The sequence below is a fragment of the Homo sapiens genome, chromosome 3, assembly GCF_000001405.40.
Source record: "Homo sapiens chromosome 3, GRCh38.p14 Primary Assembly".
NCBI lineage: Eukaryota > Metazoa > Chordata > Mammalia > Primates > Hominidae > Homo > Homo sapiens.
In genome coordinates this window covers 61,281,986-61,296,271 of record NC_000003.12, presented here as the reverse complement: position 1 = coordinate 61,296,271, position 14,286 = coordinate 61,281,986, and the positions used below count along the sequence as shown (strand labels likewise).

Genomic DNA, 14,286 nt, shown 5'->3' with positions numbered 1-14,286 from the left:
AGGATACAAAAGTTCTTGCCCCAGTTAGTTTGCAATCTACTATCTTCTGGCAACTCTGTCTCCACCCTCTTTTCAGCTATTTTTTTTTCTCTTGTCATTAAATATTGGAGTTTCTCGAGATTCAGTCCAGAGCCATCTCCTTTTCTGAGTCTTTACTTTCTCCATCTGGAAAATCTCATCCATTCCCATGGCTTCAATAAACAGATGTTTCACAAATTTGCACTTTCAGCCCAGATAGCTCCTCTAGCTCCAGAACTATACACCCAACTGCCTCATTGACATTGCTTCTTGAATGTCTCAAAGGATTAAACACACACACACACACACACACACACACACACACACACACACACACACATGTGCATGCACAAAACTGGGATTGTGATTTAATTTCCTTCCCCTCTTAGTCTCTTTCCAAAGTTTCCTAGCTCAGAAAATCGTCCTAACAATTAGTTGACTGATTCAAGGCAGATGCAAGCCAGAAAAATGGAAGTCATTTCCGATGCTGCCATCCTTCTCACCGTGCTATCCACTTCACTGTTAAGGCCTGGAAGCTTAACCTCCTAAATATCTGGCATAGGTGACCACTTCTCTCCATTGTACACCAGTCTGTGTCCTTTGTTATGTAAGTCCCTTTGTACTTACTCTCATGAGATCACATTTCTTCCCCTTATTGCCCCTACTTGGTTGTTAGGTAGTTGCATCAGGCACAGCTAGTTGCCTGCTCATCATACATCCCCACCTTTTCCTGTAATAACCAAATCTGAATTTTGCTCCAGTATCTGCTCCTTCCTGCACGACTCAGGGGCGGATCACCTTATTTCCATCTCCTTGTAAATCCCATTGACAATGATTGGTTAAGAGGTGGGCACATAACCCACTTTGGGCCAATGAAACAAAAGGGAATACGTGCTAGGTGACTTTAGAGATGCTATTTCTTGCTGTTAAGAAGAGGATTTAGGCCGGGCGCGGTGGCTCACGCCTGTAATCCCAGCACTGTGGGAGGCCGAGGCGGGGGGATCACGAGGTTAGGAGATCGAGACTATCCTGGCTAACACGGTGAAACCCCGTCTCTACTAAAAAAAAAAAAAAAAAAAAAAAAAAATTAGCCGGACGTGCTGGCGCGCGCCTGTAGTCCCAGCTACTCGGTAGGCTGAGGCGGGAGAATGGCGTGAACCCGGGAGGCGGAGCTTGCAGTGAGCCGAGATCGCGCCACTGCACTCCAGCCTGGGCGACAGTGCGAGACTCGGAAAAAGAAGAGGATTCAGAAGGCAACAGTCCATTTCTGCGTCTGCTGACCAGGATGAGCTGCTTGGAACAGCTGCAGTCATGCTGATGCCAGCCTGAAGATGGAGCCCACAGAAAGAGGAGGGCAGCTCTGAGACACCAGCAAGCAGGTGGAGTCACCTTACCACCAAATTTTCCTCGAGAGGTGGCAAATGTTCATATTGTTTTTGCCAATTTCAGGTGAAGCTTTTCTATTACTTAAAGCGGGAGTTATCTCACTGGACACCAACAATTTCATTCTCAACTGAATGATTATTTGAATAATAATTAAAAAAACAGTCTCTCAACTAGACTATATCTATGTCTACTTTGCTTGTAGTTGGATTCTCTGTTCGGAGGACCATGTCTGCATTTAGCAGGAATTCAGGGAATATTTGATGGATGAATGAATGTCCTAGCCATGGAAATAGTAATGAACATGATAACAAGAAAAGTCATGATACTAGATGATGTTTGATGATTGCCAGTGACTGGTAAGGATGTAAGTTTAGAAGGAAATTGGAAGAGGAATAAACCAGAGTGGTCTGCGTGGCTGCAGTGATCTTCACAGAGGAGATAAAAGTGGAGGTGATCTTTAAGCACTGGCTGGATTTGGACAGACAGACAGAAATGGTGGCAGTGGGGAAAGAATACATCAGGAAGGGATCTAAGGGCAAGAAATTGAGCATATTTTTGTCAGTGCCTCAGGTTGAAATTGGAAAGGATGACAGATGTCCTTGAAAGCTACATATCAGTGTGTACCTGTCCTGACAGAAATGGAAAACCCTTAAAGATTGTTGAGCAGGAGTGTGACCTGACCTTCTGTATCTAGCTGGTATTTAACTCCTGGGTCAGGGTGGCCTTCACTGTAAAATCTCCAATTATTAGAGAAAGAGAAGGGCCCTGTCTGTGTCCATGATTGTACAATTATACATACAATGGGAAATGTAATTAAAAAAAAACCCCTTTCATTTTAAGCTTTTAAAAGCATATCTCCCTAGTTGAAATTGAAAGAATAATTGCAGACATGGTGTCTTACCTATGGGCAGATTCCATAGTCATTCATTTTCAAATATCTGATGTCAGTAATTTAAATGAGACTTCCAGAACATTATTCCTCTGTGTTACAATGTCGGCCACTCAATAATTTTAAATTGATTCATTGCTATACCTAATGGAAAAAATTATTTTAAGTACTCTACCCATTTTCCCTGAGGGGAAATGCCTGGGGAGCCTACTGTTCAATAGTTCTCTTGATGTCATGACTTTATTTTAGTGCCTCTTCAATAAGTTTTTAAGGGATTTGGAGTAGAGCTTTAAACATCTTCTAATACTAACTGGGGAAACCCATTATTTTGGAAAGTAAAATTACTTGTGTCTTAAAAACATAAATTTTACAGTTAAACTTAAAAAAGATTGATTTGAAGTACAGTTGACCCTCAGACAACACGGGTTTGAACTGCACGGGTCCACTTATACATGAATTTTCTTCTACCTCTGTTACCCCTGAGATAGCAAGACCAGCCCCTCCCCTCCATCCTCCTCTCCAGCCTCAATGTGAAGACAATGAGATGAAGACCTTTATGATGATCCACTTTGACTTAATGAATAGTAAGTAGGTTTTCTCTTCTGTAAGATTTTCTTAATAACATTTTCTTTTTTCTAGTTTATTTTATTGTAAGAATACATTATATAACATATATAATGTGTATTCATGCTTTATGTTACTGGTAAGGCTTCTGGTCAACAGTAGGACATTAGTAGTTAAGTTTTGGAGGAATCAAAAGTTATAAGTGGATGTTTGACTGTGCAGGAGTCTGCGCTCCTAACCCCCATGTTGTTCAAGGGTCAACTGTAGTTATAAATGCTTGCTCTTTTTTTTTTTTTTTTTTTTTTTGCCAGTTTCAGGACTTTTAAATATTTGTAATTTGGTACATACTGCCTTAGAAAAACTTGTATGTGTGAATATGATTGTATTCCTAGCCATACTTACCTAAAAATAGTTCAACATATAGAAACAATTTTATTTTATATATTTTTAATAAGTATGTAGTTATTTTGTGTATAGAAACTTATTAAATCTCCTAAGGATTACTCAGTCCTTTATTAGTTTGACTTCTGTAGTTGCAAGTAACAGAATGGGATTTGGCTAACTTAAGCAAAAAAAAAAAAAAAGTGAGGGGGCAGGAGAGGGTCTCAGAATCCAAGGAAAAAGCTGAGGCCTCAGGAAGGGCAAGAAGGGTTATAGAAGGACAAGAAGGGGGTTCAGGGAATGTTGGTGACAGACAATAGTGAGGTCTCCTAAGGACACTGCCATAGTGGTAAAGTAGCTTCATTGCTTTCCGTCTGTTAGTTTTTGGGCACATGATTTAAGTTCCAGGGAGAGAGAAAGGATGATACGATTATAATTAGCCTAGCTTGGGTCTCCTGCCTATTTCTTTCTAAACCAAGGATGCAGCCAGTGCAGTGTAGACCCTGCAGAAAGGGTCTTCCCCAAGGCCAATGCAGAGTGCTCTTTCCGTAGAAATGAGGCCGCCTGTGGATGCAGCCCAGGCAAAAAAGCCAGATGTCACTTACAGCATTGCTCACCTGGACTCTTAGGTGCCATTTCTTTCCAAACTTGTTCTTTCAAATTCAGCCTCCAAACTGGCTGCCAGAGTGATCCTTATAAAACCTCAAATTGACTCTCACCCTTCCTGACTTAACACTTGTCAGTGACTCTTTAAGGACCCAGTGATTTTTTTTTTTTTTTAAATTTTGGTGTCACTTCTCACCTTTCTCAGCCTGAACCTCCAGCCTCTAAAACTGCTTAGAGCATCTCCCATCTCTGCTCTGCACTGCTCTCCCCGCCGCTTGGGGTTAGAGCTTACACTTTCTGGGTTCCTGCTGTGTGTTTGTCCATCGCTGTATTTTCCATACCAGGTTATAATGATCTACTGAAGGGCCTGTTTCATGCAGGAGAATTATATCTCACTCATTTTTGTGTCTCTAGACATTACACACCACCTGCCTTTATTATTTACATTTTGCTCAATAAATTTTTTCTTAATGAGTAATTTAATGAATGCAATGTGTTTATCCTTGATGTTCCTTTACAGATAACTATGGCAAAACCTGATGTCTATAATAACTCATCTTTTGGGAAGCTAACTAGCTTCCAACAATGTGTTATTGTTCATCCAAATTCCTTAAAGGAATTCCTCACTTGGGAGCCTATTTCTGCTGTGAAAAAACAAAAAACAAAAAACAAAAAAAAAACCCAGTTTATGTTTTCCCAGGCTTATTTTTTATGTTTCCTTGCTATTTCAGAAGTATAGAGATGAAGATGTACATTTTCATAGAGAGGGAAATATTGCTAGGTACTTTTATTTCTTTTTTTAACTTTTATTTTAGGATCAGAGGTACATGTGCAGGTTTGTTATATAGGTAAACCAGTGTCATGAGGGTTTGTTATACAGATTATTTTGTCACCTGAGTACTAAACTTAGTACCCGATAGTTATTTTTTCTGATCCTCTCCCTCCACCCACTCTCCACTCTCAAGTAGACCTCCGTGTCTGTTGTTCCCCTTTTTGTGTCCATGCGGCCTCATCATTTAGCTCCCACTTGTAAGTGAGAACATGTGGTATTTGGTTTTCTGTTCCTGCGTTAGTTTGCTAAGGATGATGGCCTCTGGCTCCATCCATGTTCCTGCAAAGGACACGATCTCATTCTTTTTATGGCTGCATAGTATTCCATGGTATATGTGTACCACATTTTCTTTATCCAGTCTACCATTGATGGGCATTTAGGTTTATTCCATATCTTTACTATAGTGAATAGTGCTGCAATTAACATAACATGTGCATATGTCTTTATGGTAGAATGGCTTATATTCCTTTGGTTATATACCCAGTAATGGGATTGCTGGTTCGAATGGTATTTCTGTTTTTACCTCTTTGAAGAATGGCCACACTGCTTTCATTAGGTACTTCTCTAAAGCAGAAATGGGAAAATCATAAGGTGACTTGGAATAACTGCCATTACTACATGTAGTATTCAGCTCTCTCAGTACCAGTAATTTCGTATTGCTCCTCTTCTAGAATATTTACCTCCCTGCCTTCTTTTTCTACTAGCAGCACATTGGAAGCTCTCATGAATTTGTTGTAGACTATCACCCCAAATCCTCTTAAGCCTTTTTGCTTTTTAGAAGAATTCTCAGTTTATGTCTGTGCCTCGTAGTATTTTTCCCAAAGTGTATTGTTTTATGTTCTTGTAAATTGAACTCATCACATTTAAACTGGTGTGCCTCTCCAAGGTCTCTGGATTATTCTGTACTGTTGATCTATTTTTCACTGTTTATGATTTTTTGCAAATAAGAATAATGTACAATTTATTTTGTGCTTCAGACCATTAATAAGGATATTAAATAGCATGTGCTTCAGATTTTGCCTTCTGGCATCCTGCTTTTCCCAATTTGATTCTGGCCTGTTAACAGTTATTTTTTATTCTGTCAGGGTTTTTTTGCGGGGTGGGGGGGTTCTTTTTAAAATATTGTTGTAATATTTTTTAACAGAAAGTAGCTTGTAACTTTTCTCCATTTCAGCACCAAGAAGCAAATAACCCAGATAAGTTATGTCAAAAGATCCTTTTATTTTCCCCTGGAATATATGTTTTCTGGGGGAGTGTTAGTTGAATGTTATAATATTTATTGAGACTATACCATCAACCACTTATATAGCTCTTGCTATTCTCCAGAACTATTCTGGGTATTATGCATGGAATAGCTCATTTAATGTTCACAACAACCCAATGAAGTAGGTCTAATCATTTCCTTCATCTTGCCAATTAGGAAACTGAGGCACAAATGAACCAGATAAATTGCTTAAGTCATACAGCTAGTAAGTGTCAGAGCCAGGACTCAAACTCAGGCTGTTTGGCTTTGGAATCTGAGCTCTTAACCATCACACTAGGTTGGATTCAACCAAGGCATCCTTAAGTGAGAGATACTAGAATGAACCAGAAATGGGTTCTATCCCCTAGATGTTTGCGACAGAACACAAGATTTGCAAATAAGCAACCTATGTCTCCCTTGTCCTTCCCTTTACTTATCTCTCCAGTCAATCTGCAATAACTTTAACCTTCGTCCTATTTCTTCTCCTCATCTTCATTACTACAACTTTGGTTCAGGACATAATTGTCACATGCTGGGATTTCTACAACAATCTCCTCAACTGATATTCCTGATTCCATCTTGGGGCCCCTAAAGCTCATTCTCCACAATGTAGATCAACTTACTTTATAAAAATACAAAAATGATCTTATATCTTCCTTGCCTAAAGCCCTCACAAAATGTAGGGCTCGAGGGTGAGGAAAAGGTAAGTTTCCTCAAGGAAAATAAGGGTTCAGTTTCCAGAATAAGAGGGAGTGGATGCTGGTCAAAAAAACACAGTGAATGCCCATCTTATATCAACCATTTGGAGGGTATGGGGCATGCAGTTGATATCATACAGGGCTCTTTATTTAAATGCCTCCAATTACTAAAACTAATTTATAATTTTGATTAAATTTCTTCTTTTGAATAATTTTGAATAATTGCTTATAAGCAATAACTTGAATTTCACCTGATATATAGAGAAAGTGATCTAGAACGAGGTTAGGTGATTGAAAATCATTAAAATGTCTGTAAGGAAGAAATTTGAATTTTCTTTGCAGCAGAACATCACATTATTCATATAGAATATTACAACTCAGGAAAGAGTTTTAAAATCACTCCTTAGATGAGGTACAGGTATGGCTCCCCTGCTTATCTGCTTGAGAATTTGTCATTATGATGAGACAAGTGTCATGAGTGAACTGGACCCAGAACTGCAAAATTCAGTCAGTCTGTTTTGCTTGAGTTCATCCTAACGCCACATGGAGGTTATCTAAATGGATGTGGTCAAGGTGCTCTGTCATTTATCATTTGAAAACGCTCACCCATCTCAGGAAGTTCTTGGCTTCATTGGCAAATCAAGTGAGAACTGAAGCTCAGTGAATCTATTGAATCATCCCATTTTTATGTAGAATAAATTTAGGTTTGGGGCTTTAACTGTCCTGCAACAATCAGTTATGTGGATGAATTGTGGACCATTCACTAAGTTTTATCATGAACTCTGCCATCTTTAGATGTGTCCTGTGTTACTAGCCTTAGAAATGGCTGTGCTTTGGTGACAATATAAAAAAACAAAACTTTATCTTGCGCTTGAATAATACAGAGAAAGAAAAATGTTTAGGGATAAGAAAAGACATGAGTGTAATGTTTGTGCTCAAGGAAAGTGTTTCTATGTAGACAATGGTCTCAGACCCTTCAGCATGTCCTGAACAACGGCTTCCTCTGTGCCGATTTTCTGCTATGGTAGCATTTGTTCAGCTTTCATGAATGATCCATTGTATGTGATGGTAAATGAGACCAACAATTGTTCTTGAAGTTATTGGCGTCTCAGGCCAATTTTTATTAGCTTAGTCTAAAATCTAGATTTGACTATCAACGTAATATTGAGAACCTGGAAGTATCAGAGTAGGTTGGAAAGATGCTACTTTTTAAGGAATAAAGGTTGGTTGTGATCTTAGATTTTAGAGACATTAAAAGGCTAAAACATTATCTATCTCTTTTATGATTATTATTATTGATTGCTGCTATGTAAAAATTACCCAAATTGAGTAGCTTAAAATAAACATTTTATTTTGCTCACCATTTAGACGGTCAGGAATTAGGAAAGGGCTTAGCTAACCTGCTCTCATTTGGGATCACTCATGGGGTCAGGTGTCATCCAGGGCTGCAGTCATTTGGAAGCTTGACTAGGCAGGGGATCCTTATATGAGGATGGCTTACCCACATGGTTGCAGCGGATGTGACTACCACGGCATTTCCAGCGTGTTGGTCTCAGGGTAATCAGATGTGTTATATGGCGCTTGGCCATCCCCCTATGCGAGCATGCCAAGAAAACAAAGAAGCTGCATGGACTTTTCTCACTTAGCCTTAGAATTATGCAGCATCACTTCCACTGCATTTTCTTGGTTACTGGTCACTAAGACCAGTCCAGATTCAAGGGAGGGGACATAGGCCCCACTTCTCATGGGAGAAGTGTTAAAGGAATTGCACTCATATTTTAAAATTGTCAAAGGGGTCAGCAGTGGGTACTTGGGAATACCTTCCTCCTGTTGCCCAAGGCAATTTCTGGGAGTATCCACCATTGAGATACTTTAATATTTTTCATAATGATGAAAATTATGGAGACATGATTTTACTTCAGTGTTCCTCTTGAAGGCCCATCATAAAATACCAATGTATTATTTCTCTTTTGAAGCAGAGCCAAGAATTTTATCCCAACTGCTATATGGGGAGAAGAATAAAAACTGAGAAGGGTTTGGATCTGACTCAAAAAATTGAGATGTTAAATCTACCTGTAATGCAAAACCATTCTTACCCAATGCTTTTAAATTCTCTAATGAGTTTGACAAGATTTTATTTTTAAACCAGCAAATGAAAAACCCATTTGAACTACCTCATTCTGGAATAGCCACATATTAAAGATAAATATGGGGCTATGAATGATATGTTGTCTGCTTTGTAAAATCAAGAAAATACAAATTGTGCAGCCTTTTTTATAAGCAATTTCTTTCCATAGACCTTTAATACTAGCAAATCTGTACAGGTCTATTGCTGACCCAGATTATCCTATAGAAAAATGAAATCTTTTCAAAGTCAACATTAAAATTCACATTATTCAGGGCTCTCTTTTTCATGTTATCTTCGAGCATGCCTATGGGAGTGGTTTTGCTCCACATACAATAGTATCATTGCTGTCTTTAGCTCAGTTAGCCCTATGGTGTTATCCATTATACACAGGAGTTTGCTAGTTCATTAATAAACTGATAAGGGCTCAAATACTTGTCCTCAATTTTATTTATCTCCTCTGAGAGACAGTCTTTCAGATATAATGTAGTTAATGATAGTCTACATATGAAGGTAAGGCACCTGATTCTTCACAATTATAGTGGTGGACTATTACTGAAGACTGAATCTCAGAGTAGACACATGTAGGCTTTATTTTAATGGCATCCCAATGAATGATGAGTTTTATATTTCAAGCTAGTGAATTAAAATAGGCTGTTGCATTCGCATCTGTTGAAATAAAGTAATTCTTCTTGACTTAGTATGTGGAAGTTAAGATAACCATGAAAATTACTTAATATTGCTTTTATTTTCTGGTTCTCAGCTGGAAGCTTCTCTCTAAGGTCCTTCTATTAATGTACTTCCTACCATGTTGATTAAAAAGCAAAGCAAAACAAGACAATTCTCTTTATTGCCTCTATGTTCCTATCCTTAAATGGTATATAATATGTTTAAAAGTGTAGTGGTTTTTCTAATTGCAGAGGTAATACTTTAAGCAAAAAGGAGATAAGAATAAAAAATAACCTCTATCTTACTGCCCTAAGATTATATGTTTATATTCTTTTAGTTAATTTCTCTACTATATGTATATACATATCCACATAAACACAAATTATTCTTGAATAAGTAATGCAGTCTTATGGTTCAAAATTCAAAAAGTAAAAAGGTTATAAAGTGAAAAATCTTCCTTCTTCAGAACCTTAGCTGTCCAGTTCTCTTCAGAGATTTCAATGTTCTGTGATCTTGCAGAGATATTCTAAGTAGATTCAAATAATTATGTGTGTATATTTTTCTTCCTCTGCCACCTAAATGTTGGCATAATATTCAAATTGTTCTTTCTAGAGTGCAGTGGCACGATCTCAGCTCACTGCAGGCTCCGGCTCCCGGGTTCTAGCTATTCCCTTGCCTCAGCCTCCTGAGTACCTGGGACTACAGGCACCCACCACCATGCCTGGCTAATTTCACCATGCTAGCGAGGGTGATCTTGAACTCCTGACCTCAAGTGATCTACCCGCTTCAGCCTCCAAAGTGCTAGGATTACAGGAGTGAGCCACCAACTGGGCCTTCATATTGTTCTGTGTCTTGTTTTTTCATTTAACTATCCATCTTGGAGCTATTTCTATATTAATTCAAAAAGCATTTTCTTTTTAAAATGATGTATGGTATTCAATAAATGAATATATATGTACACACACACACACACACACACACACACAAACACATACATATATAAATTCATTATACCTTTAATTTACTTAACCAGTTCCCCATTAATGGTTATTTAGGTTGTTTCCAATCTTTTCTTTTCACAATTCTGTGATGAGAGAATTGTGTATTAGTTGGATAGGGCTGTCCCAATGAAATTCCTTAGTCTAGGTGGCTGTAACCACAGACATTTATTGTATCATAGTTCTGAGGCTAGAAGTCTCAGAACTAGAAGGATCTAGCTCCAGGCCTCTCTCATTGGCTTCTAGATGACCATCTTTCTGCTCTGTCTTCTCACATCGTCTTCTTTCTCTGACTATGTTTCTGTGTCCAAATTTCCTGTATTTACAAGGATACCAGTCACAATGGATTAGGGTCCACCCTAATGACCTCATTTTACCTTGACTACCTCTGTAAAGATGTTATCTCCAAATAAGTTCACATTCTGAGGTACCATAGCTTAGGATTTCAACATATAATTTTGAGGGGATGCAGTGCAACCTAGAACACCTTGTATTTTGCACATAATAAGTGCAAATATTTTGGGATATATTTGTAGAATTCGAAATTTGAAATTCTAGAATTTGAATTTAGAATTGCTGATTCAAAAATACGCGTATGCAATTTTGATAGCTATTGCCCTATCATTCTCCATACAAGTTATACGAATTTACATTTCTCATGAGCAATGGATGAGCATGTCTTTTTCCTCAGCATCTCACCCAACGATGTTATGAAACTCTGGGTCTGTCACAATCTAATACATGAAAATGGTTCTTGATGTGGTTTCAATTTGCATTTCCATTAAATAAGTGTGGTTGAATATCTTTTCACATTGTTAAATACATATTTTCTTTAAAAAAGATGGGATCAAACTGCAAATATCATTTTGTAACTCTATTTTTTCCATTTAAGCAACATATAGTGGACATCTTTCCCTATTATTTAATATTTTTCTATAACAGGAAAGTAATATGGCTCCATACTATCCCATTGTATATCTGCATCAAAATTTACTTGATTTCCTACTGTGCATTTATGTTGTTTCCAACATTTTTACTTCCAAAGTAATGCTGAGATAGCTATAGAGATAAGCCTTTGTGCACAGCTAGGACAGAAATTAACTCTTTGGTTTTTGTAGATAGACTTTTGAAGCCAGATTAATAATTAAATAGAGTCATATTAACGGTCTACCTTTTAACCTTCCTGTTTCCCCTACAGAATGTGCTTGCCTGTGATTTCAAGAAATCTACTTCTCAGCAGTTGAGGTTGGACTCAGATTTTTTTATGTACTAGAAACCAATTTTCCTGTAATGAAATTCATTTGTCTCTGAAATCAACTGTGCCATGTACTGTACCATAGTGTAAGTATGAGTGGATGGCACTACTATGACAGAGTAGGGGGCAGCATGGTTTTGGACATTTGGGGTCTTGTATCTCTCAATTTATAGCCTATATTCATAAGACAGCAGAATAACAACAACCAACACTTACCAAGTGCCCGAAATGTCTTAACTCATTTAAGTTATTCAACAAAGATAGGAGAACTAATGGGGTAAGGGACATGGGCACTTTAATAGACAGCCATTACTGCAATAATGCTGTGTAACGAACTACCCCCAAACATCAATGTCTTACAATAACAAGCATTTAATTTTGTTTTGCTCATAAATCTACATTTGGCTAAGGTTCTGTTGTGCTTGGCTAGTACCAGCTGAACTTGAATCAACCCTACATGTTGGATCCAAATTTATTCCACATTTCTCTCATTCCCATTTGAACTAACAGCTATCTGCAGCATGCTCATCTCATGTGAACAGCAGGAATGTTAGAGGCAAATCAAACTGTGCAAGTACATTTAAGGCCTCCATTAACATTTCATTGGCCAAAGCAAGCATGTCAGAAAACAAGTTTTATATCAACAAGGCAGAGAAAATGTGTTTCACTTATACTGAGAGAGAATCATAAAATTGCTTGTATTCTAGCCTAGGAGAGAGAAGAATTGGAACCAATGAATATGATCTATCATAGATGCCTTTGGAGAATGGATAAGGGACAAATTTCAGTTTTCATGTGGAGACCAAAGCCATTTTTTTTTTTGTTAACACTGTGTCTGAAGTCTTAGGGGGCTAAAAGTCCCATAAAAGGCCTTTTTAATTTGAGAGATATTTACATTAAGAGATTCAGTTAGGACCTAAAGAAGAGTCAAACATTTGATGAAACACATCTGCTTATCACTGGTTATAATCTACTGGGGAAGAAAATAAGGCATTTATACAAACAATTCCATAGCAAGATGTAGGATAAAAAGTGTCCTTCAAAGACCAATTGTAAGTAAAAGGGTAGAGAAAACTATGTAATAATTGGATTTTCTTTGCTTGATCTCCCAGTTACTAAGTTCTTTTGTAATGAAAAGTATAGAAAAAGATTTCCTAATAGCTAAATTGGGAAATATTTTTATTTCTCAGAAATACTACAGTTGTACTTTTTATTATGCAAATGTTAAAAGAAGCCTGTAGGAGCTCCACAGTTTTGGAAAAACAGATTAATGTGTTTCTTAGGCCTTCTGTCTTTCAACAAATTGAACAGTCTGGAGTGTCAAATGGAAAATGAGAAAGGAAAAAAATCTGCTTCTATGAAAAATCATACCAATGAAAATTTAAGACAATGAGACCTATTGTTAAGAAATTTTAAGATCCTTTTAGTCTTTGAATTAAGAACATTGTGTAGTTAGAGAAACAAACACAATATAATATAGTGCTCTGGAAATAATTCATTTGAGGTCATTTATTTTAGAAATTGGAGAAAATCATTCACCTGTGAATGCAGGAAACCATTGTTAGTTGTTACTTTTGATATGAAAAAATTATAACAGTTTGAGAAAAAATTTTTTAACAATTATCTCACTTGTATTGCATGAGTTTGACCTAAATTATCTGAAAGATCATTTTGATGGTGAAAAAAACATCTATTGAGACTGAGATTAAGTGTGTTTCCATATAGCTTATTTCAAAAATTGAGACAGATTTTTATAGAAACATTGTCTTAACTTTAATGATAGAGATGTTTGAATTAATTTTTCCCAACAACTTGCTAAGATTTTTATAGCCTATGTGAGAGTAATAGAGAATGAGATTGGTAAGCAGTGGTACCAGTAAACTCATTACAATGTAAAAGAATTTCACCACAGGAGGAAAATTTGGGGTGCAGCTGAGTTAAGAGTTTCCACATCAATTTGATATGTTCTAATGTGTTAAAAAGGATGCAAAAACAATCTAAATGGATGAAGACAATAATATAATAATTTAGGATCTTGATTACTATGGGAAGATTGTGAGATACTTTGTCTGATAAGACACAATTTAAGTCAAAGTCACACATGTTTATTGGATGATTTTCCGGTGGAAAGTTTTTTAAAAATGAATCTTTTGTGGTCACAGAAAGAGCAGAAAATAGTCTTCTAAGACGTGGTTTTGAGTTCTAACTTTGCCACTTATTAATGAGTTACTCATCTTCTCTGTGACTTACTTTTCTACTCCATAAAATTGTGATAATAATATCAACTGCAAAAGTTGTGATAAGGTTGAAATGAGATTTTACAATTTAATATGATTATAGATTATGTAATATACAAACATAATATAATTTATGTTATATATGAATGTAATATAATCATTGTCCCACATACAAGAGTATTCAATAAATGATATTATTATAACAATTTTCCATCAGAAACATGACACTTTAAAAAACTTGTTCTTTTTTTTGAGACAGGGTTTCACTCTGTTGCCCATGCTGGAGTGCAGTGGTGTGATCATAGCTTACTGCAGCCTTGACCTCCTGATCTCAAGCAGTCCTTCTACCTCAGCCTCCGGAGTAGCTGGGACAACAGGCATGCAC

General features: G+C 37.1%; 1 long non-coding RNA gene across 2 annotated transcripts in view; it reads left to right on the top strand.

Moving 5' to 3' along the window:
• Positions 1-11,796, top strand: part of LOC105377114 (uncharacterized) — a 144,240-nt gene extending 132,444 nt beyond the window's left edge. For both annotated transcript variants that reach the window (XR_001740725.2, XR_940892.3), the window contains one exon: positions 11,608-11,796. This is a non-coding gene — a long non-coding RNA (uncharacterized LOC105377114). The remainder of the gene's footprint in view (positions 1-11,607) is intronic.
• The last annotated feature ends 2,490 nt before the right edge of the window (positions 11,797-14,286 follow it).